Source organism: Homo sapiens, chromosome 2, assembly GCF_000001405.40.
Source record: "Homo sapiens chromosome 2, GRCh38.p14 Primary Assembly".
NCBI lineage: Eukaryota > Metazoa > Chordata > Mammalia > Primates > Hominidae > Homo > Homo sapiens.
This window is the reverse complement of record NC_000002.12, coordinates 43659458-43685034: the sequence shown is the minus strand read 5'-3', so window position 1 is coordinate 43685034 and position 25577 is coordinate 43659458. Positions and strand designations below refer to the sequence as shown.

At 39.5% G+C, this 25577-nt stretch overlaps 2 protein-coding genes and 1 pseudogene across 10 annotated transcripts in view, besides 2 other annotated features; 2 read left to right on the top strand and 1 right to left on the bottom strand.

Moving 5' to 3' along the window:
* PLEKHH2 (pleckstrin homology, MyTH4 and FERM domain containing H2) overlaps positions 1-25577 on the bottom strand; it is a 130728-nt gene that overhangs the window by 82953 nt on the left and 22198 nt on the right. For 8 of the 9 annotated variants that reach the window (XR_001738621.2, XR_001738620.2, NM_172069.4 and 5 more), the window contains one exon: positions 6110-6172. Coding sequence is in view for 6 of the 9 variants with exons in the window: in NM_172069.4 (NP_742066.2) it covers positions 6110-6172 (63 nt within the window). In the remaining 3 variants the exon portion in view is untranslated. Of the gene's footprint in view, positions 1-5396; positions 5419-6109; positions 6173-25577 lie in introns of those variants that run through there. The other variant, XM_024452695.2, reaches the window with a different exon arrangement.
* On the top strand, positions 3440-4468 carry LOC100421122 (zinc finger protein 106 homolog (mouse) pseudogene; annotated as a pseudogene).
* Positions 8371-8665: an enhancer, noted in NCBI's record as "tiled region #13975; HepG2 Activating DNase unmatched - State 4:PromP, and K562 Activating DNase unmatched - State 1:Tss". NCBI's record gives its function as "activates a minimal TATA promoter and a strong SV40 promoter by Sharpr-MPRA in HepG2 and K562 cells {active_cell/tissue: HepG2 | K562}" and the evidence as "EXISTENCE:reporter gene assay evidence [ECO:0000049][PMID:27701403]".
* Positions 8606-9884, top strand: C1GALT1C1L (C1GALT1 specific chaperone 1 like). Its single transcript, NM_001101330.3, has one exon. The coding sequence runs from the start codon at positions 8713-8715 to the stop codon at positions 9658-9660; it is 948 nt and encodes a 315-aa protein (NP_001094800.1). The 5' UTR covers positions 8606-8712; the 3' UTR covers positions 9661-9884.
* Positions 18811-19441: an enhancer, noted in NCBI's record as "OCT4-NANOG-H3K27ac-H3K4me1 hESC enhancer chr2:43892733-43893363 (GRCh37/hg19 assembly coordinates)". NCBI's record gives its function as "activates a minimal SCP1, AML or CMV promoter by ChIP-STARR-seq in primed H9 embryonic stem cells {active_cell/tissue: H9 hESC(primed)}" and the evidence as "EXISTENCE:reporter gene assay evidence [ECO:0000049][PMID:30033119]".

The window sequence follows — 25577 nt, the reverse complement described above, 5'->3', positions numbered from 1 at the left end:
CTTCATCAGTGCATGAGAATTCATCTGCTGTCTGTATTTCCTGTCGACTTTTAGATTATGAAGTAATTGTAAAGAAAAAAAGTCCTTCTGAAGTGTAACAAAATATGCAGTAAATAAATTTAAAGTGTTGTGACAAAAAGAAATGCCTACAGGTTTTGCTAACACATGGAAACTCTGAGAGATTTGTAATTCTCTCTCTTTTTTTTTTTTTTTTTGGTAATGGGAGTAGCAGTATGTCTAAAATAACCAATCCTGGTGTATTTTTGCTTAAAGATATAGCACATAGAATTAAATAACTTTATACCCAACATCCTCAAAGAACAACTTCAAAGGAGAGAAGTCCTTCCTGTCAAACTTACCAAGACCAGTGGTTGGCCCTGATGGCAACAAACCTCTGTGGTTTGCTTCCCTTGAATCGGGAACAAGGATCCTTTTTTAAAGACTCCTCACTGGATCTCATAAGACCCAAGGAATTGGGGTGGGGCAGGGGTCGGTGGGGGGCGGGTGTAGATAGTTGAAAATCACAAATAAAAAATACTTAATTTAGTTTAATTTTCAAAAACAAACAAATTTGCCACATATTATGAATTAAGAATTTTAAATTAAGGCAAAACAAAACCATCCTCAATTTTTTTCTCTTTTTCCCATAATATGGGCAGTTAAAGGAGAGAAAGGAAGGGAAGGGAAAGATAGGGAAGAACAGATAGATTACATATAGAGACATATAGACACAGCCAGGGTACAGAGGTAAAGAAAGATGCTACTAGGAAGGCCAAAGTCAGAAAACACAAGACAATGAAGGAAAAAGAAGGGAAGGGAAAGGAAGGGGAAAAGAAGGGAAGGAGAAAAGAAGGAAAAGGAAGGGGAGTATAGTATCATATCCTATATGATACTATAGAAGAGGATACACAGCATTATACATTTGTCAAAATCCATAGAACATAAAACACCAAGAGTAAACACTAATGTAAACTATGGGATTTGGGTAACAATGATGTGTCAGTGTTGGTTCATCAGTTGTAATAAATGTACCACTCTGGTGTTGGATGCTGATGGTGAAGAAAGCTTGAATGTGTGTTGGAGGGGAGAGGATATATGAAAGCTCTGTACTTCATACACCATCAATTTTGCTGTAAATCTGAAACTGCTCTAAAAATTAAAGTCTGTTTTTAAAAAAGCAATAACCTCCCTGATGAAATCATTGATTTAAACAAGGTAATCAATGGCTGCTAATATCACCAAAAAAAAAAGAGAGAGAGAGAGATAACTAGACATCCACCTCCTGGTGGAGGTCAACAATATCACCCAAGAAGTAGTCTTGAAAAAAGAGAAAGAAAAGTCAAATTTTTAGATCTAACTATATTTTACAGGAAATATAGGGGAAGAGGAGCTTGTTAAATCACATCATAGGTATGCAATAGGCAAACTCCAGAATGTGGAAAGCTTTAGAGAACAAATTAACCCATACAAATAAGTTGAAAGAAAAAAGGAAAAAAGACCCTATAAATTAAAAGAGTTTAAGAATCAAATGAAATGTATCAATCTAGTTTAGATCCCAATTTGAACAAACTAACTATTAAAAACAAAAAAAAAGAGGGCCGGGCGAGGTGGCTCACACCTGTAACACCAGCACTCTGGGAGGCCAAGGTGGGCGGATCACCTGAAATCAGGAGTTTGAGACCAGCCCGACCAACATAGAGAAATCCCATCTCTACTAAAAATACAAAATGAGCTAGGCGTGGATGCCTGTAATCCCAGCTACTCGGGAGGCTGAGGCAGGAGAATGGCTTGAACGTGGGAGGCGGAGGTTGTGGTGAGCCAAGATCGTGCCATTGCACTCCAGCCTGGGCAACAAGAGCAAAACTCCATCTCAAAAAAAAAAAAAAAAAAAAGGGTATATAAATAAAAGAATTAAAAAGGGGTACTCAAACAAATATATGTACGTTCTTAACAGCACTAGTCACAATAGTCAAAAGATGAAAAGGTAGAATAGGTAGGGCACAGGAGACATCGAGGGCAGTGAAAGTCCATAAAAAGACAATGTCCATAAAAAGTCAAATGGATAAACAAATTGTGTGTGTGTGTGTGTGTGTGTATATATGGAACATTATTCAGCCATAATGAGGAATAAAGCATGACACATGCTACAACGTGGATAAATATCAAAAACATTCTGCTAAATGAAAGAAGCCAGACACTAAAGATCAAATAGTATATAAATCCATTTATATGAAATATCCAGAATAGGTAAATCCATAGCAACAGAAAGCAGATTGGTGGTTGCCAGGGGCTAGTGGGAGGGGGAAATGGGACTAAATGCTTAATGAATAAGGTTTCCTTTTGAGATGAGTTTCCTTTCGACATTTTGGAACTAGATAAAGGTGATGATTGTACACAACACTGAAATGTTCATTTAAAAATGTTAATTTTGGCTGGGCACGGTGGCTCATGCCTGTAATCCCAGCACTTTGGGAGGCCAAGGGGGGCAAATCACAAGGTCAGGAGTTCGAGACCAGCCTGGCCAACATGGTGAAACCCCATCTCTCTAAAAATACAAAAAATTAGCCAGGCGTGGTGGTGGGTGCCTATAGTCCCAGCTACTCGGGAGGCTGAGGCAGGAGAATCGCTTGAACTCAGGAGGTGGAGGTGGCAGTGAGCTGAGATGGCACCACTGCACTCCAGCCCAGGTGACAGAGTGAGACTGTCTCAAAAAAAAAAGTTAATTTTATGTTATGTGAATTCCACTTTGATTAAAGAACAAAACACAGAAGCAATTATTAGCTATTTGGAAAAATCTGAATACTGACTAGATCTTTGATATACTGAAGAATTACTGGTAATTTTTTGGTGTGATGATGGTATTGTGGTTATGATTTTTAAGGGTGTTTGGTTTCAGATTAGTATAGTATATAATAATGGATGAAATTATACCATGTCTGGGATTTGCTTTTCAATAGTCCAGTGTGAGGGGGGCAGGGGAAGTGGGTGGAGGTACAGATGAGGCATGACTTGACTAATTGTTGAAGTGGGTGATGCGGGTTCACTATACTATTTTCTCTACTCTTGTATGTGCTTAAAGTCTTGCCTAATAAAGTTGTAAGATTTCCTTTTCAAGCATAATTAAAAAAATCAAAGATTAGGCTACATTGGGCTTATTTAGAAATCTATTAGGCACTTACTCTACCCTATAAAATTAAAACTTTCATGTATCTGCTGAATCTAAAATAAAAATTGAGGGTGATGGGGCCTGGTGGGGAGAGGGTCCAGAGTAGGCTCTCAGACCCGAAACTGAATGGGGTGTCTGGGGCATCAGGGAGCTCCCTTGCCTGGCCCTCAGTGGCCTGATGGAGTAAGAGCGTTTGGTTGAGTGATTCAGATCTGGTCACTATGGTAGGAGAACAAAAATGCATATTGTGTCATATCGTGTACAGCTCCAAAAAGAGGCACTAGTCATGAGTGCCGAAGGTGCGGGCCCACAGAAGTGAGTCTTTCTGCATACGCAAAGCACATTTCTGGCCAGCTGCACAAAGATAACGTTGATGCCCAGGAAAGAGAAGATGATGGAAAAGGAGAGGAAGAGGAAGAAGATTATTTTGACAAGGAACTCATTCAATTAATAAAACAAAGGAAAGAACAAAGTCGACAAGAACCTTCCAGTAGCAGCCAAGAAGTAAATTCTGATGACAGGTGACCCCAATGGAGCTGAGAACACCAAATTCCTCACCAACACAGACAGAGTTACAGTCAGCCAGCATGGCATCACCCTGGACCTCCACAGGAGGATTGTAATTGGAAAAAAGATCGCTTTAATAATACATGGAGAAACAGCTTTCTGTATTCTTTGAGGAATAGTGGTGGACCAAAAGGATGTTCTGAGTGGCATTAGAGTGTTGCAGGAGGCTCCTTGACTTGGTTTCACAACCATAGTAATTCTGGAGTTGGTTGGCATTCAAATAGTGGAACAGTAGATTGGAATCATAATGGTACAGGAAGGAATTCCAGTTGGCATTCTGAGGGAACAGGTGACTTTTCCAGTTGGCATATGAACAACAGTAACGGAAACTAGAAATCCAGTGTATGTAGTAAAAATAATTGCAACTAAAGTGGCCCTGGACATAAATTTCAACCAGGCAGAAACAGAAATTCTACTTGTCAAATGGAAGATGTGACTATGCTATGGAACAAGAAATCAAATAAGTCAAGCAAATACAATCAAGAAAGATATAATTGGTAGTGTCAAGAAAATGAGAAACTTGGAATGACAAACTTTGTACGGCTGCCACATATAGAGGTCCTTCTGAAAGATTTACAAGTGATAAATTTCCTTCGGAAGGCTTACTTGACTTCAATTTTGAGCAGCCAGAAAGCCAAACCACTAAACAAACAGACACTGCAACTTCCAAAATTAGTGGAAAGAACAGCAGTGCAGCAACGGGGAAAGCCTTGTTGCCAGACTCCTTACCCTTCTAAAATAAAAATTAAAAAGGAAAAAGATTTGGTAGTACTCAAGTTGAAGGAAGGAAACATGACAAACTTAGAGGAAGCATAAGGAATTTCATATGCACTTCTTAGGAGAAATAATTTTGTATTTAAGCCTTTTTTTTCTTTTGTTTTTAGTTGATACATAATAATTGTACATATTTATGAGATACAGAGGGATATTTCCATGTGTGTATACAATGTGTAATGATCAAATCAAGGTAATTAGCATGTCCAGCACCTCAAACATTTACTATTTATTTGTGTTGTGAACATTCAAAATCCTCTCTTCTAGCTTTATGAAAATATAGAAAGCTGGCTCTTTAAGCTTTTTGTAAATATGCAATAAATTATAGTTAACCATATTACTCCATAGTGCTGCAGAACACCAGAACTCACTGGAACTCATTGATTAAACTGAATATGACTGAGATCTTTTCATGAAATGAGAAGCTATGGATTTAGAATCATTAAACTTTAAGGCTGGGTGGGCCCATCCAAACCCATCATTTTACTGCTCATTTTAATGCTGGAAGACCCAGAAAGGGTTATGTGACTTATGAAAACATCTTTTAAAAATAATAAAAGTTGTCTGAGCACAGTGAGCTCACACCTGTAATCCCAACACTTTGGGACACTGAGCATCACTTGAAGCCAGTAGTTCAAGATCATCCTGGACAACATAGTGAGACCCTGTCATTACAAAATTTAAAAATTTTAATAAATAAAAGTTATATTAAAAAACTCAAAGTATGAAAATATAGGGGGCCAGGCACAATACCTCATACCTGTAATCCCAGCACTTTAGGAGGCCAAGGTGGATGGATCACCTGAGGTCAGGAGTTTGAGGCCATCCTGGCCAACAAACCCCATCTCTACTAACAATATAAAAATTAGCCGGGTATGGTGGTGCGCACCTGTAATCCCAGTTATTCAGGAGATTGAGGCAGGAGAATCACTTGAACCCGGGAGGCGGAGGTTGCAGTAAGCCAAGATCGCGCCACTGCACTCCAGCCTGGGCCACAGAGCAAGATTCCGTCTCAAAAAAAAAAAAAAAAAAAGGGAAAAAATCATTCCTGATTCCGTAATTCAAACAATTGTAAACATTTGTTAAAATTTTGGGGTGTTTCCTCTCAGCCTTTTTTTTTAACTCTTAGGTTTGACTTTTCCTAATACAACTCTAAGCATTTTTACATATTAATGCAAATCCTTAGAAACAATTATTTTAATGGTTGTCTAATATTTCATGGAGTTGATAGAGTTTACTTTTTCATTCTTCTATAATATGGCATTCATATTATTTCCAACTCTTTATAACTACAAATAAAGCAACTATGAACATATTTATATACAAAACTTAAATATAGTTAGTATTACCATAAAAGTCATATTTGATTTTTCTCAGAAGTAAGATAAAACTTCCTTCCTAATGGAAGCCTTTTTTTCCTTTTGAAAATTTGTTAATGGACAAAATAGAGTTAGATTCTCCATTTTCTTTATGGATCAAGCTATGAACAGTCAAAAAGATAAGATGTAGAGGTGGGCTGATAATTGTCTTTCCATTATGAGCAAAACAATCTTTATGTGAGTAGTACAGGCAAAAAAAATTTAAAGTAAAATTATACTCTACCTGTTGAAAAGCTTTTTCTGCTTGACGTTCAGCATCAATAACTTGTCTCTCAAGCTGTTGCATCTGTAGAGTGAGGGAAAATATAAATACAAAAATTTATTTTTGAAAAATGAGCCTTTCTGAAAAAGGCTTTAAAAATCTCATAATTCTACCTCCACCTCCACCTCCACCTCCACCTCCACCTCCACTTCCACCTCTACCCACGGTCTCCCTCTCCCTCTCTTTCCATGGTCTCCCTCTGATGCCGAGCCGAAGCTGGACTGTACTGCTGCCATCTCGGCTCACTGCAACCTCCCTGCCTGATTCTCCTGCCTCAGCCTGCCGAGTGCCTGCGATTGCAGGCGCGCGCCGCCACGCCTGACTGGTTTTCGTATTTTTTTGGTGGAGACGGGGTTTCGCTGTGTTGGCCGGGCTGGTCTCCAGCTCCTAACCGCGAGTGATCTGCGAGCCTCGGCCTCCTGAGGTGCCGGGATTGCAGACGGAGCCTCGTTCACTCAGTGCTCAATGGTGCCCAGGCTGGAGTGCAGTGGCGTGATCTCGGCTCGCTACAACCTCCACCTCCCAGCCGCCTGCCTTGGCCGCCCAAAGTGCCGAGATTGCAGCCTCTGCCCGGCCGCCACCCCGTCTGGGAAGTGAGGAGCGTCTCTGCCTGGCCGCCCATGGTCTGGGATGTGAGGAGCCCCTCTGCCTGGCTGCCCAGTCTGGAAAGTGAGGAGCATCTCTGCCCGGCCGCCATCCCATCTAGGAAGTGAGGAGCCTCTCTGCCCGGCCACCCATCTTCTGAGATGTGGGGAGCGCCTCTGCCCCGCCGCCCGGTCTGGAATGTGAGGAGCGCCTCTGCCCGGCCGCGACCCCGTCTGGGAGGTGAGGAGCGTCTCTGCCAGGCCGCCTCGTCTGAGAAGTGAGGAGACCCTCTGCCTGGCAACCGCCCCGTCTGAGAAGTGAGGAGCCCCTCCGCCCGGCAGCCGCCCCGTCTGGGAGGGAGGTGGGGGGATCAGCCCCCCGCCCGGCCAGCCGCCCCGTCCTGGAGGGAGGTGGGGAGATCAGCCCCCCGCCCGGCCAGCCGCCCCGTCCGGGAGGGAGGTGGGGGGGGGTCAGCCCCCCGCCCAGCCAGCTGCCCGGTGCGGGAGGTGAGGGGCGCCTCTGCCCAGCCACCCCTACTGGGAAGTGAGGAGCCCCTCTGCCCGGCCACCACCCCGTCTTGGAGGTGTACCCAACAGCTCATTGAGAACGGGCCATGATGACAATGGCGGTTTTGTGGAATAGAAATGGGGGAAAGGTGGGGAAAAGATTGAGAAATCGGATGGTTGCCGTGTCTGTGTGGAAAGAAGTAGACATGGGAGACTTTTCATTTTGTTCTGTACTAAGAAAAATTCTTCTGCCTTGGGATCCTGTTGATCTGTGACCTTACCCCCAACCCTGTGCTCTCTGAAACATGTGCTGTGTCCACTCAGGGTTAAATGGATTAAGGGCGTTGCAAGATATGCTTTGTTAAACAGATGCTTGAAGGCAGCATGCTCGTTAAGAGTCATCACCACTCCGTAATCTCAAGTACCTAGGGACACAAACACTGCAGAGGGCCGAAGGGTCCTCTGCCTAGGAAAACCAGAGACCTTTGTTCACTTGTTTATCTGCTGACCTTCCCTCCACTATTGTCCTATGACCCTGCCAAATCCCCCTCTGCGAGAAACACCCAAGAATGATCAATTAAAAAAAAAAAAACTCATAAAGTCATCATCAGTTTGGATATTTTAAACTAGTTCACTGGAGATGAGTTAAATACAGTTAGCACATTAAAGGCTCTTTGCATATTTAAAAGTTGATCAAAATGCCAGAGTTTCGATACTTTTAATACAAGGACTACATATATACCTCAAGAGTATTCATCAATAGAATTTTCTTCAGTGGATTGTAGATTAAAAATTATGGATTAACATATATTAAGAACAAGAAAATAAATCTAAGAGGAAAGAAAGGCTTCAAATGTCCTATTTGACCGCTTGATCAAAAAGTCATAATGACATCAAGGAAGTGGTGTGTTCTCATGAACTCCGTGGGTGCTAGGTTTAAATAAACTCTGGGTAGTTTTACATTCTTACAGACTGATGGAGAGAGTATAGAAGAGATTCTTTGATTAAACACACAGACACACAAATACTAAAACGAATATTATAAGGAGAATTTTAAAAGCCTTAAGAAGGACCCCATGCTAATCAACATACGGGATGTGTTGTACCAGGGGCTGAATACACAAATCGTGAGGTAAAACTCAATTTTATTCTTTTTGGCTCAGTGCTGATGTCTGGCTCACTTTAGAGCCGTCTGTGACTCATCTCTGCTCATTTTCAACTTTATTGCTGGTTGGAAGGCCAGGCGTGCAGAACTCCTGGTATACCTCTCACCCGCAGCAGCCCGGACCCCACCCGCAGTGGCCGCCGCGTCCCGCTCCTGCCCCGCCCCCTTCTCTACGCCACCGAGAAGCGACCTCCCGCAGCTAGAGTGGCCCAACCGGGAGCGCAGCCGCCAGCTCCGGAAGGCGCGGGACCCCAGGACCCGGTCCCAGGCTGCCTTTGACCCTGGCACACTGTCCTAACGCCTGGAAAATGGTTTCCGCTAGTGGGACATCATTTTTTAAGGGTATGTTGCTTGGGAGCATTTCCTGGGTTTTGATAACTATGTTTGGCCAAATTCACATTCGACACAGAGGTCAAACTCAAGACCACGAGCACCATCACCTTCGTCCACCTAACAGGAACGATTTCTTAAACACTTCAAAAGTGATACTCTTGGAGCTCAGTAAAAGTATTCGTGTTTTCTGTATCATCTTTGGAGAATCCGAAGATGAGAGTTACTGGGCTGTACTGAAAGAGACCTGGACCAAACACTGTGACAAAGCAGAGCTCTACGATACTAAAAATGATAATTTGTTCAATATAGAAAGTAATGACAGGTGGGTACAGATGAGGACCGCTTACAAATACGTCTTTGAAAAGTATGGTGACAACTACAACTGGTTCTTCCTTGCACTTCCCACTACGTTTGCTGTCATTGAAAATTTAAAGTACCTTTTGTTTACAAGGGATGCATCCCAGCCCTTCTATCTGGGCCACACTGTTATATTTGGAGACCTCGAATACGTGACTGTGGAAGGAGGGATTGTCTTAAGCAGAGAGTTGATGAAAAGACTTAACAGACTTCTCGATAACTCTGAGACCTGTGCAGATCAAAGTGTGATTTGGAAGTTATCTGAAGATAAGCAGCTGGCAATATGCCTGAAATATGCAGGAGTTCATGCAGAAAATGCAGAGGATTATGAAGGAAGAGATGTATTTAATACAAAACCAATCGCACAGCTTATTGAAGAGGCATTGTCTAATAACCCTCAGCAAGTAGTAGAAGGCTGCTGTTCAGATATGGCTATTACTTTCAATGGACTGACCCCCCAAAAGATGGAAGTAATGATGTATGGCCTGTACCGGCTCAGGGCATTTGGACACTATTTCAATGACACACTCGTTTTCTTGCCTCCAGTTGGTTCAGAAAATGACTGAGGCCTGGAGAATAATAGACCTGTGCTGTCCAAGAGCACTTGAAATGTGGCTAGTCCAAATTCTGATACAGTGTAAGTGTAAAATACGTACTTCATTCAATAATTCATATATTATTAGAAAACAGTATGAAGATGTAAAACATCTCAGTAATATTTCATATTGACTCCACATTGAAATAATGTTTTGGATATTTTGCATTAAATAAAATATACTATTAAAATTAATTTCACCTGCTTTTTAATTTTATTAATGTGTCTATTAGAATATTTTAAGTTACACATGTAGCTTACATATTTCTACTGGATAATAAAGGTGTAGAACATTTGTTGCCACCATGTATGGCCACATATTTAACTGCCTGTCCACATGGCAGCATTTTTTTTTTTTTTTGAAATGGAGTCTTGCTTTGTCACCCAGGCTGGAGTGCAGTGGCACAATTTCGGCTCACTGCAACCTCCGCCTCCCGGGTTCAAGTGATTCTCCTATCTCAGCCTACTGAGTAGCTGGGACTACAGGTACACACCACCATGCCCAGCTAATTTTTTTATTTTTAGTAGAGACAGCGTTTCACCATATTGGTCAGACTGGTCTTGAACTCCTGACTTCAGGTGATCCACATGCCTCAGCCTCCCAAAGTGCTGAGATTACAGGCATGACCCACCACACGCAGCCCCATGGCAGCATTTTAAAAGGCAGTTTATTACAGGGATCTAGATTCTGGAAGAGGTTTCAAATATTTGGATATGTAAATAACTGTGCAAGTACATTCTCAGTACCTCATATTTAATTTCTGTGAAAATATTTCAAATGTTTAATGAGCAAGTAATGTGGTTTCAAAGCATTTTGTTGAATTACTTGTTTAGACTATGGCACTATATAGAAGCAGCTGGACAAGCATTAAGTCTTTTGGATGTCTCTAGAATATTCCCTAAACCAAAAACCAACTAGCAAACACATGCCAATACCACATTCTTCCACTACTGGCAATATGCTGACAATTGTCACTTCTACAATATAACTATATTCTATTTTCAGGGAAATTTGGTTTTTCTGGAGCCTTACTTAGCCTGGATTTTGAATATTGTCAGGATTGCCAGGAGAAACAGAAGAATGCACAAAATTTTGCTAGTGAAAAAAATAGTTCTCTTAAGAGAACTATGCAAATATCTTGTCTGATTTCTCCTCAAATGTATAGTTTCTAGTGATAACAGGAAGGATAAAAGTCAGCTTGCTTCACTGTTACATAACTAATACAGGTCTTTCTACATAGTAGATATTTAATATATTACAAATTATTGATGAAATGACAAAGCTCTCTGTCATGCCTAAAGTACCATGCATATATGAAGGACAGTATCATTATTTTTACCACTGCCAAATAACTTTTTTTCTGCTCCTATGGCACTGACTTCCTATCTTGTACTATCTTCCCAACTACATTGTAAAGTTGTCTTGAAGGCGCAATCAGGCTCAAAAGTTACTTGCTTTCTTAATGAAAAGGAGGTAATCCTTGAAATATGAATATAGGGAAAACTGGAAAGAATACTGAACTTAAAGGCAAGACCTAAATTGGAACTCAGATTCCAATACTAGCTATGTGATGATGGGTACATTATTTAACTTATCTGAGTCTCCTCTCCCTACCTGTAAAATGATACAACACTTATTTCACAGCATTTATAAACAGAAAAGCATCCAACATAGTATCTAATACTTAACAGGTGTTCAATGAATAGTTACATAGAAATTTTTTAAGCAGCCTATTTCTACCATATATATGTGTTATTTTTATGAATAATTTTAAGTTAGGAAACTCTACTATTTACCAATAGTTTGCCACTGGACTCTAAAATTCTTGTGTATAAAATGTGGATAATATAACCCGTTCTGACTACTTTACAGGATGTTGTAGGGCTAAAAATAAGAAAATATATTCAAGCAATGTGAAAAGCTGGTGGTAACTCATTTATTTAAAAATATTATGGTAGCAGTTGTAGTGTTATAATTTGAATGATAAAACTAAAAGTCACAAATGTCCAAAAACAGGATTATCTAAATATATAAATAATGGTACATCCTTACAGTTAGATACCATACAGTCATTACAAATTTTTATGGATGGAGGAAATGATATATTTGGGACTTGTCTCAATATAACATAGGAGGAAAGAAGTAGGTCAGGGTGCAGATGAAGATGAAACAGGATTGGCCCTGAGTTGACAACCATGAAAGCTGGGTGATGTGTACAGGAGGGTCCATTATAACATTCTGCTTACTTTTGTATGTTTGAAAATCTCTCTAATAAAATGTTTTAAATATATATGAAAAGATGTAAATGACATATTTAAAAATAAGTGTAAATTATATATAGAATGATATTATACATAAATGATATATTGAGGGAAAAGGGACTGCAAAGCAGTAATGAATGTTGCAATCAAATGTTTGTTAAAAAATTTACGTGTGCCTGTTTTTATGGAATTACATAAACCAAGGACAAGGAGTTGTCTATATCTAGGTGACAGGATTATGGATAAAGTAGTTTGCATCATATATGATGAGGCACCAGAGGGAGTTTTACGGAGCTGAAAAAAGGAAGAGAATAATGGCAGGGAGGAAAAAAAATGGGTGTTAGAAACTTGCATTAGAAATAGTAGGCAATAGTTAATCAAAGATAATTCTGCTCCCTTAGAGGGAATGAGTAGAAAATCAAGAGGAAGATTTTCAAATAACCTGTGAAATTAGAGAGGCTATATATGAAAGTACATAGAAAAAGGGTTCAAATGCTGAAGTGGCATCTAACTAGGCAACAACTGGTGATGATGCCACTGCTAATTAGGAGGTCATTAGTGACTTTTGTGATTCCAGCTGCACTGTGGAGAAGTGAGGGCATAAGCTGGAATGCAAGAGTCTGAATGAATTAAAGTCATTAGGAAGAGCAAATTAAACCTAAAGCCAACAGAAATTTAAAAACTAACAATAAAGATTAGAGGAGAAATGAATAAAATTAAAAACATAAAAATAGAGAAAAATCAATAAAACCAAAAGCTGGTTCTTTAAAAATATCAATACAATTGATAGCTCTCTAACCAGACCAATAAAGCAAAAAAGAAAAAAGACACAAATTATCAATATCAGTAATGTAATGGGAGACATCACCACAGACCCCACAGATGCTAATGAGATAACAATATTATGAAATACTTCATGCCCATAAACTGGACAAAATAGCAAAGCTCATTTAAGAAGAAATAAGTTAGCTTAATAGCCCAATGTCTATGAAATAAATCACACTTGTAGTTAAAAACTTTCCCACAAAGGAAACTCCAGGACTAGATGGTTTCACTTGTGAATTCTACCCAAAAATGTATAGAAGAATGAATAGAAACTCAACAAAAACTCTTCCAGCACATAAGAGAAGGGAATGCTTCCTAACACATTTTATAAGGCCAGTATTGCCAAAACCAGAAAAAGACGAATATCCTTGTGAACACAGATGCAAAAATCTTTAACAAAATATCAGCAAATCCAATCCAAATATACACAACAAAGATATTATGTCATGGCTAAGTGGGGTTTATCCTAGGAATGCAAGGTTGTTTTAACTTTTGAAAAATAAACCAATGTAGTTCACCATGTCAAGTGGCTAGAAAAGAAATATCATTTCGATAGATGAAGAAAAATCATCTGACAAAATTCAACATCCATTCACAATAAAAATCTCTTAACAAACTAAAAATACAAGGAATTTCTGATACCTAATAAAAGGTATCTACAAAAAAACCTATAACTAACATCATACTCAATGGGAAAGCCTGAATGCTTTCCTCCACAAGAATGTCGTTTTACCACTTCTACTCAAGGTTTTACTGCAGGTGCTAACCTATGTAATAGCCAAGAAAGAAAAATAAAAAGCATATATACTGGAAAGGAAGAAATAAAGCAATATTTATTCACAGATGACATGAGTATCTACACATAAAGTCCCAAATAATCTACAAAAGAACTAATAAATGAGTTTATTAAGGCCATAGGATACAAGGTCAATATACAAAAATCTGTTGTATTTCTATATAAGAGCAATAAATGGCCAGGTGTGGTGGCTCACACCTGTAATCCCAGCACTTTGGGAGGCCGAGGTGGGTGGATAACCTGAGGTCAGGAGTTCTAGACCAGCCTGGCCAACATGGTAAAACCCGGTCTCTACTAAAAATACAAAAAATAGCTGGTCGTGGTGGCAGGTGCCTGTAATCCCAGCTACTCAGTGGGGGGCAGAGGCAGGAGAATCACTTGAACCCAGGAGGCAGAGGTTGCAGTGAGCCGAGATTACGCATCACACTCCAGCCTGGGGGACAAGGGCGACACTTCATCTCAAAAAAAAAAAAGTTAAAAAAAAATAAGAGCAATAAACAATTGAAATTAGAATTTAAAAAACAGTAGCATTTACAAAAGCATCAAAACCATAAAATACTTAGCTATGAATCTAACAAAATAAGCACAATATTTATATGCTGAAAATCACAATATACTGATAAGGAAAATTAAAGAAGAGCTAAATAAATGGAGAGTTAAACTATGAGTCAGAAGACTCGATATTATTGTCAGTTCTCTTCCAATTGACCTATAGATTCCACCCAGTCTTAATCAAAATCCTAGCAGGCCTTTCTGCACAAATTAAGAAGAAGAATCTGAAATTTGTATAGAAATGCACAGGACCTAGAATAGCCTAAGCAGCTTAGAAAAAAAAAAAATTAGAATATTCACAATACCTGACATCAAGACTTATAAAATTGCCAATAGTAGTCAAGAGAATGATATTTATATAAAAACAGACATATTAGATGAATAGAACAAAATAGGGTTCAGAAATATACTTTAAAATATGCAATCAATTTTTTTTCAATTTTTATTGGTTTACTCTATCTTCATTGTCAGATCCTATAGCCATCACATACTACAATCTCCCTACTCTAGTTGACTGAACCTCATTCTCTAAATTTCTTAGGGAAAACTGCTGGGAACAATATTTTCTGAGTTCTTTAATTGCTAATAGCTGCTTGCTATGCCCTTTATACTTGAAAGCCAGTTCTGCTTAATACGAAGTCCTTGGATCATATGTGCTTTCCTTGATATCTGAAACATGGTAGTCCATGTTCTCCTGGCATAAAGCATTACTATCAGTGTAAGAACATAATTTTATTCTCCTAATGATATAAAGGTCATGTTTTTGTTTTTGCCTAAATACCTAAAAAATGTTTTCTTTTTCTTTAACATCCAGTATTTTGATGAAAAATATGCCTTGAAGTGGGTCATTCTAGGTTGATGTTCTCAGCCACACGATCCACTATTTCAATATGCAATATTTTGCTTTTTTAAGGTTCTGTAAACGTTTCTTAAATTACACTGTTTGTATTTGTTTCATTCCCTTGTTTTCTTCAGGGGCTTCTTTTATCTGTATATTGTATCTTCCTTACTTATCTTCAATACTAGTCATTGTTTCAAATCCTTTTGATCTTTCCTCATTTTGATGTTTAAAAGTTTCTGGGAGGCTGAGACATGAGAATCACTCAAACCCAGGAGGCAGAGGTTGCAGTGAACTGAGATCACATCACCGCACTCTAGCCTGGGCCAACAGAGTGAGACTCCGTCTCAAAAAAAAAAAAAGTTTCTTCCTTTTCACCTTCATTTCTCATTAAAGCATTATGTGTTGAGTTTATCCATTCTTCGGTTCCTTCTGCTTTAGTCTTAGTTTATAAAATATATTTTTCTACTTGTAATTCTTTGTTGAGTTCTATCACCTCATTTCTGATTTTTTTCTAATTATGATTCATGCTATTCGTGTCTTATATCATTTTGTTAATGTCTTTTGGTTAATTTATTTTTTCCCACTATTTAAAGTCGAGATATAATACACATGCCATAAAATTCACCTTTTAAAACAGTGTAATTCAGTGGTTTTTAGTATATTCAAAGAGTTGTGCAACCATCACTGCTAATTCCAGAACATTTCTATCACCCTCCCCCTAAAAAAACCCTGTACCCATTGGCAGTCATTCCCCCATTGCTTTGCTCTGCATTTCTTTAAGTATGAGTGAGGCTGAATACCTTTTTCCATGTTTATTGGCTACTAGTATTTTTTGTATACTATCTTTTCATAGCCTCTGCTTGCATGGTGATTACTTTGAGTCTGGGTATTTGAACCAGTGTCTAGTCTCTCAAGGAAGTTAACAGATTGCTGGAACTCCATGAACTTCAACTTTGCCCAAGTAGGGGCCTTAGTCAACCAAAGAGGACTGAGAAGCCCTTGTAAGTTTAAGTAACGGACTATTCCTGGAGCTCTCTGCTGCACTGCTGCTTAGCTCAACCAGCTGACCATTCCCTACTCCTTGATCATCCAGAGTTCTCTCAAGTTAGAGAGCAGTTACCACCTTTTCCCTTCCCCCACCTTTGTGCATAATATCAGGGATGGGTATCAAGGGAACTGGCCAGACTCAAAGCTAATTAACTCTTCGGGTAACAACTGTGGAAACACAAATTGAAGAGTTGTTTTATTATTGTTGTTGTTTTGGGGATAGGGTCTCACTATGTTGCCCAAGCAGGTCTCGAACTCCTGGGCTCAAGGGATCCTCCCTCCTCAGCTTTCCCAGTAGCTGAGACTACAGACAGGTACCATTGTGCTGGGCTTTAATCAAAAAGTTTTGATCCTGTAGTTCTACTCTGACCCATTCATTGTACTTTAGAGAACCTTCCAGAAGAAAGAATTGCAATTATTTAAAAATGTTATATACACAAGAAGTTCATTTGCAATGTTGTTTAAACTAATGGAAAACTATAAGTAGCCTGTATGTCTAATAGTAAGGGAACTGATCAGTAAATCATCAGTATTTATTTACTGAGCTCTTTATGATTATGAATACAGAGACTAGGGGACAACACAGAACATGATAATGATAAATGATCTAATATTTTATGAAACAAGTTTATTTAAACTATTTACATCTATGTATATATATTTTAAGTTATACATTTAAAAATAAGAATGTGGCCAGGTGCGATGGCTCATGCCTATATTCCCAGCACTTTGGGAGGCCAAGGTGGGTGAATTACCTGAGGTCAGGAATTCGAGACCAATCTGGCCAACATGATAAAACCTTGTCTCTATTAAAACACAAAAATTAGCCAGGAGTGGTGGTGGGAGCACGTAATCCCAGCTACTTGGGAGGCTGAGGCAGGAGAATCACTTGAACCCGGGTGGCAGAGGTTGCAGTGAGCTGAGATCATACCACTGCATTCCAGCCAGGGTGACAGAGCCGGACTTCATCTCAAAAAACAACAACAACAACAAAAAAGAATGCTAATAGTAGTGTTGTTAAAGAGCAGGCAGTATTTCTCCATTTTTCCAAACTTTTTAAAAAATTGAGAAGTAATTCACATGCCACAAAATTAACCACTTTAAAGTGTACAATTCAGCGTTTTTTTTTACTATATTCACAGAGTTGTGGAACTATTAGCACCATTTAATTCCAGAACAGTTTCATCACCTCAAACAGAAAGCCTGTACCTATTAGCAGTAATTCCCCATTGTACTCTCCCAATCGCCCTTTGCAACCAATAGTCTACTTTGTTTCCATGATTTTGCCTATTCTGAATATTTCATATGAATGGATTCCTATAACATGTGACCTTCTGTGTCTAGCTTCTTTCACTTAGCACAATGTCTTCAAGGTCCATCCATGCTGTAGCATATGTTTGTACTTCATTTCTTTTTATGCCTGAATGATATTCCACTATACGGATATACCAAATTGTGTTTATCCATTCATCAGTTAGTTGATGAGCTTTTGCGTTGTTTCACTCTTTGATTATTATAAATAATGGTGCTATGAACATTCATGTAAAAGTTTTTGTGTGGACTTGTCCATTTTCTTAGGTATCTATTTAGGAGTAGAACTTCTGGGTCATATAATAACTCTATATTTAACTTTTTGAAGAACTACCCAACTGTTTTCCACAGTGGCTGCACAATTTTACATTTCCACCAGCAATGTATGAGACCTTCAATTTTTTCATATAATGCTTGTTATTATTGTCCATCTCTTTGACTACAGCCATCCTAGTGAGTATGAAAAGATGTCCAGGTAATTAAAAGGAGAGAGGAGAGAGTCTTTTCAACAAATGATACTAGAAGAAATAGCCACATGACATTTCCTTTAACCATTATCTTGCATCATATACAAAAACCATGTTCCTTTTCCACACTAGAAAAAAATCCTTGTAATTCTGTGTTAGGCAAAGATTTTTCAGAAAGGATACTAAAAGCATGAACCAAAAAAATTGGTAAAATGGACTTTATACCCATTTTAAGTGTCTGTTTTTCAAAACACACTATTAAGAAAAATGAGATACTAAGCCATTACTTACTATCACTAAGCTATTATTACTATTACTATTACTAAGCCAATACTTACTATTAAGAAAAATGAGATACTAGAAAAATTAGTGCAAAACACATCTGATAAAAGACTTGTATCCAGAATATATAAGGAATTTTTACAATTCAAGAATACAAATAACCCCATTTTTAAAAATGCTAAAAGGATTTAGACAGATACTTTACCAAAAAATAAATATGGATAGCAAGTTAAATACGTAAAAAGATGGTCAACATCATTAGTCATTAGAGACATGCAAATTAGAACTAAAATGAAATACAACTACATACCTATTAATATGGCTAAAATTACAAAGATTGAATATGCCAAATGGTGGTAAAACTGCAGAGCAAGTAGAACACTCAAGCATTACTGGTAGGAATGCAAAATGGTACAGTCTCCTTAGAAACAGTTCGGCAGTTTCTTAAGTTAAACATATGTTGGGGGAGGAGCCAAGATGGCCGAATAGGAACAGCTCCGGTCTACAGCTCCCAGCGTGAGCGACGCAGAAGACGGGTGATTTCTGCATTTCCATCTGAGGTACCAGGTTCATCTCACTAGGGAGTGCCAGACAGTGGGCGCAGGCCAGTGGGTGTGCGCACCGTGCGCGAGCCGAAGCAGGGCGAGGCATTGCCTTACCTGGGAAGCGCAAGGGGTCAGGGAGTTCCCTTTCCGAGTCAAAGAAAGGGGTGACGGATGCACCTGGAAAATCGGGTCACTCCCACCCGAATACTGCGCTTTTCAGACCGGCTTAAAAAACGGCGCACCACGAGACTATATCCCACACCTGGCTTGGAGGGTCCTACGCCCACGGAATCTCGCTGATTGCTAGCACAGCAGTCTGAGATCAAACTGCAAGGCGGCAGCAAGGCTGGGGGAGGGGAGCCCGCCATTGCCCAGGCTTGCTTAGGTAAACAAAGCAGCCGGGAAGCTCGAACTGGGTGGAGCCCACCACAGCTCAAGGAGGCCTGCCTGCGTCTGTAGGCTCCACCTCTGGGGGCAGGGCACAGACAAACAAAAAGACAGCAGTAACCTCTGCAGACTTAAATGTCCCTGTCTGACAGCTTTGAAGAGAGCAGTGGTTCTCCCAGCACGCAGCTGGAGATCTGAGAACGGGCAGACTGCCTCCTCAAGTGGGTCCCTGACCCCTGACCCCGGAGCAGCCTAACTGGGAGGCACCCCCCAGCAGGGGCACACTGACACCTCACACGGCAGGGTATTCCAACAGACCTGCAGCTGAGGGTCCTGTCTGTTAGAAGGAAAACTAACAAACAGAAAGGACATCCACACCGAAAACCCATCTGTACATCACCATCATCAAAGACCAAAAGTAGATAAAACCACAAAGATGGGGAAAAAACAGAACAGAAAAACTGGAAACTCTAAAACGCAGAGCGCCTCTCCTCCTCCAAAGGAACGCAGTTCCTCACCAGCAATGGAACAAAGCTGGATGGAGAATGACTTTGACGAGCTGAGAGAAGAAGGTTTCAGACGATCAAATTACTCTGAGCTACGGGAGGACATTCAAACCAAAGGCAAAGAAGTTGAAAACTTTGAAAAAAATTTAGAAGAATGTATAACTAGAATAACCAATACAGAGAAGTGCTTAAAGGAGCTGATGGAGCTGAAAACCAAGGCTCGAGAACTACGTGAAGAATGCAGAAGCCTGAGGAGCCGATGCGATCAACTGGAAGAAAGGGTATCAGCAATGGAAGATGAAATGAATGAAATGAAGCGAGAAGGGAAGTTTAGAGAAAAAAGAATAAAAAGAAATGAGCAAAGCCTCCAAGAAATATGGGACTATGTGAAAAGACCAAATCTACGTCTGATTGGTGTACCTGAAAGTGATGCGGAGAATGGAACCAAGTTGGAAAACACTCTGCAGGATATTATCCAGGAGAACTTCCCCAATCTAGCAAGGCAGGCCAACGTTCAGATTCAGGAAATACAGAGAACGCCACAAAGATACTCCTCGAGAAGAGCAACTCCAAGACACATAATTGTCAGATTCACCAAAGTTGAAATGAAGGAAAAAATGTTAAGGGCAGCCAGAGAGAAAGGTCGGGTTACCCTCAAAGGGAAGCCCATCAGACTAACAGCGGATCTCTCAGCAGAAACCCTACAAGCCAGAAGAGAGTGGGGGCCAATATTCAACATTCTTAAAGAAAAGAATTTTCAACCCAGAATTTCATATCCAGCCAAACTAAGCTTCATAAGTGAAGGAGAAATAAAATACTTTACAGACAAGCAAATGCTGAGAGATTTTGTCACCACCAGGCCTGCCCTAAAAGAGCTCCTGAAGGAAGCGCTAAACATGGAAAGGAACAACCGGTACCAGCCGCTGCAAAATCATGCTAAAATGTAAAGACCATCGAGACTAGGAAGAAACTGCATCAACTAACGAGCAAAATCACCAGCTAACATCATAATGACAGGATCAAATTCACACATAACAATATTAACTTTAAATGTAAATGGACTAAATTCTCCAATTAAAAGACACAGACTGGCAAGTTGGATAAAGAGTCAAGACCCATCAGTGTGCTGTATTCAGGAAACCCATCTCACGTGCAGAGACACACATAGGCTGAAAATAAAAGGATGGAGGAAGATCTACCAAGCAAATGGAAAACAAAAAAAGGCAGGGGTTGCAATCCTAGTCTCTGATAAAACAGACTTTAAACCAACAAAGATCAAAAGAGACAAAGAAGGCCATTACATAATGGTAAAGGGATCAATTCAACAAGAGGAGCTAACTATCCTAAATATATATGCACCCAATACAGGAGCACCCAGATTCATAAAGCAAGTCCTGAGTGACCTACAAAGAGACTTAGACTCCCACACATTAATAATGGGAGACTTTAACACCCCACTGTCAACATTAGACAGATCAATGAGACAGAAAGTCAACAAGGATACCCAGGAATTGAACTCATCTCTGCACCAAGCGGACCTAATAGACATCTACAGAACTCTCCACCCCAAATCAACAGAATATATGTTTTTTTCAGCACCACACCACACCTATTCCAAAATTGACCACATAGTTGGAAGTAAAGCTCTCCTCAGCAAATGTAAAAGAACAGAAATTATAACAAACTATCTCTCAGACCACAGTGCAATCAAACTAGAACTCAGGATTAAGAATCTCACTCAAAGCCGCTCAACTACATGGAAACTGAACAACCTGCTCCTGAATGACTACTGGGTACATAACGAAATGAAGGCAGAAATAAAGATGTTCTTTGAAACCAACGAGAACAAAGACACAACATACCAGAATCTCTGGGACGCATTCAAAGCAGTGTGTAGAGGGAAATTTATAGCACTAAATGCCCACAAGAGAAAGCAGGAAAGATCCAAAATTGACACCCTAACATCACAATTAAAAGAACTAGAAAAGCAAGAGCAAACACATTCAAAAGCTAGCAGAAGGCAAGAAATAACTAAAATCAGAGTAGAACTGAAGGAAATAGAGACACAAAAAACCCTTCAAAAAATCAATGAATCCAGGAGCTGGTTTTTTGAAAGGATCAACAAAATTGATAGACCGCTAGCAAGACTAATAAAGAAAAAAAGAGAGGAGAATCAAATAGACACAATAAAAAATGATAAAGGGGATATCACCACCGATCCCACAGAAATACAAACTACCATCAGAGAATACTACAAACACCTCTACGCAAATAAACTAGAAAATCTAGAAGAAATGGATAAATTCCTTGACACATACACTCTCCCAAGACTAAACCAGGAAGAAGTTGAATCTCTGAATAGACCAATAACAGGAGCTGAAATTGTGGCAATAATCAATAGTTTACCAACCAAAAAGAGTCCAGGACCAGATGGATTCACAGCCGAATTCTACCAGAGGTACAAGGAGGAACTGGTACCATTCCTTCTGAAACTATTCCAATCAATAGAAAAAGAGGGAATCCTCCCTAACTCATTTTATGAGGCCAGCATCATTCTGATACCAAAGCCGGGCAGAGACACAACCAAAAAAGAGAATTTTAGACCAATATCCTTGATGAACATTGATGCAAAAATCCTCAATAAAATACTGGCAAACCGAATCCAGCAGCACATCAAAAAGCTTATCCACCATGATCAAGTGGGCTTCATCCCTGGGATGCAAGGCTGGTTCAATATATGCAAATCAATAAATGTAATCCAGCATATAAACAGAGCCAAAGACAAAAACCACATGATTATCTCAATAGATGCAGAAAAAGCCTTTGACAAAATTCAACAACCCTTCATGCTAAAAACTCTCAATAAATTAGGTATTGATGGGACGTATTTCAAAATAATAAGAGCTATCTATGACAAACCCACAGCCAATATCATACTGAATGGGCAAAAACTGGAAGCATTCCCTTTGAAAACTGGCACAAGACAGGGATGCCCTCTCTCACCGCTCCTATTCAACATAGTGTTGGAAGTTCTGGCCAGGGCAATCAGGCAGGAGAAGGAAATAAAGGGTATTCAATTAGGAAAAGAGGAAGTCAAATTGTCCCTGTCTGCAGACGACATGATTGTTTATCTAGAAAACCCCATCATCTCAGCCCAAAATCTCCTTAAGCTGATAAGCAACTTCAGCAAAGTCTCAGGATACAAAATCAATGTACAAAAATCACAAGCATTCTTATACACCAACAACAGACAAACAGAGAGCCAAATCATGAGTGAACTCCCATTCACAATTGCTTCAAAGAGAATAAAATACCTAGGAATCCAACTTACAAGGGATGTGAAGGACCTCTTCAAGGAGAACTACAAACCACTGCTCAAGGAAATAAAAGAGGATACAAACAAATGGAAGAACATTCCATGCTCATGGGTAGGAAGAATCAATATCGTGAAAATGGCCATACTGCCCAAGGTAATTTACAGATTCAATGCCATCCCCATCAAGCTACCAATGACTTTCTTCACAGAATTGGAAAAAACTACTTTAAAGTTCATATGGAACCAAAAAAGAGCCCGCATCGCCAAGTCAATCCTAAGCCAAAAGAACAAAGCTGGAGGCATCACACTACCTGACTTCAAACTATACTACAAGGCTACAGTAACCAAAACAGCATGGTACTGGTACCAAAACAGAGATATAGATCAATGGAACAGAACAGAGCCCTCAGAAATAATGCCGCATACCTACAACTATCTGATCTTTGACAAACCTGAGAAAAACAAGCAATGGGGAAAGGATTCCCTATTTAATAAATGGTGCTGGGAAAACTGGCTAGCCATATGTAGAAAGCTGAAACTGGATCCCTTCCTTACACCTTATACAAAAATCAATTCAAGATGAATTAAAGATTTAAACGTTAGACCTAAAACCATAAAAACCCTAGAAGAAAACCTAGGCATTACCATTCAGGACATAGGCGTGGGCAAGGACTTCATGTCTAAAACACCAAAAGCAATGGCAACAAAAGCCAAAATTGACAAATGGGATCTAATTAAACTAAAGAGCTTCTGCACAGCAAAAGAAACTACCATCACAGTGAACAGGCAACCTACAGAATGGGAGAAAATTTTCGCAACCTACTCATCTGACAAAGGGCTAATATCCAGAATCTACAATGAACTCAAACAAATTTACAAGAAAAAAACAAACAACCCCATCAAAAAGTGGGCGAAGGACATGAACAGACACTTCTCAAAAGAAGACATTTATGCAGCCAAAAAACACATGAAAAAATGCTCACCATCACTGGCCATCAGAGAAATGCAAATCAAAACCACAATGAGATACCATCTCACACCAGTTAGAATGGCAATCATTAAAAAGTCAGGAAACAACAGGTGCTGGAGAGGATGTGGAGAAATAGGAACACTTTTATACTGTTGGTGGGACTGTAAACTAGTTCAACCATTGTGGAAGTCAGTGTGGCGATTCCTCAGGGATCTAGAACTAGAAATACCATTTGACCCAGCCATCCCATTACTGGGTATATACCCAAATGACTATAAATCATGCTGCTATAAAGACACATGCACACGTATGTTTATTGCGGCATTATTCACAATAGCAAAGACTTGGAACCAACCCAAATGTCCAACAATGATAGACTGGATTAAGAAAATGTGGCACATATACACCATGGAATACTATGCAGCCATAAAAAATGATGAGTTCATGTCCTTTGTAGGGACATGGATGAAATTGGAAACCATCATTCTCAGTAAACTATCGCAAGAACAAAAAACCAAACACTGCATATTCTCACTCATAGGTGGGAATTGAACAATGAGATCACATGGTCACAGGAAGGGGAATATCACACTCTGGGGACTGTGGTGGGGTGGGGGGAGGGGGGAGGGGTGGCATTGGGAGATATACCTAATGCTAGATGACGAGTTAGTGGGTGCAGCGCACCAGCATGGCACATTTATACATATGTAACTAACCTGCACAATGTGCACATGTACCCTAAAACTTAAAGTATAAAAAAAAAAAAATAAATTCCTTAATTGGCAAAAAAAAAAAAAAAAAAAGTTAAACATATGTTTACCATAGACCTATAACCCTACTCCTAGGTGTTTACTTAAGAGAAATAAAGACATATACATCCAAACACCTGTATGTGAATGTTTACAGCAGCTGTATTCGTAATTGCCAAAACTGGAAACAACCCAAATGACCATCAACTAGTGAATGGATAAACACATCATGGTGCACACGTACAATGGAATACTACTCTACAATAAACAGGAACAAACTATAGATACAGACAACACTGGTGAACTCAAAAGCATTCTAAACGATAGAGGCCATTCACTAAAAACTATACACTTTATGTCATACTATATGATGCTCTAAAATAGGCAAAACTAAAGGTCCAGAAACTATATCAGTGATTGCCAGGGCTTAGAGTTTGAGAAGAAGACAGACTATAAAGGCGCAGGAGGGAAATTTCTGAGGTGATGGAAATAGTGTTTATGTTGATTGTGGTAGTGGTTACGGAATCATATATATTTGCCAAAACTCTTTGAACTAAACACCCAAAAGGGTGACTTTTACATATGTACTCAATTAACTTGACCAAAAAAAATTTTTAAAAAGTGCCTTGCAGGCCAGGCACAGTGGCTAACACCTGTAATCCCAGCACTTTGGGAGGACAAGGCAGGCGGATCACTTGAGGTCAGGAGTTCGAGACCAGCCTGGCCAACAGGGTCAAACACTGTCTCTACTAAAAATACAAAAATTACCCAGGCATGATGGCACGTGCCTGTAGTCCCAGCTACTTGGGAGGCTAAAGCAGGAGAATCACTTGAACCTGGGAGGCAGAGGTTGCCAGTGAGCTGAGATCTGACCACTGCACTCCAGTGCAGTGAGACTGTCTCAAAAAAAAAAAAAAAGTGCCTTGCAACCCCAAATTCCAAAACATACAAAGAAAACTAAGAAAGACAGATAACAATATCAATGGTCAAAAGACCAATTTAGTCTGGTAAAATAAAAATGATAACACCATG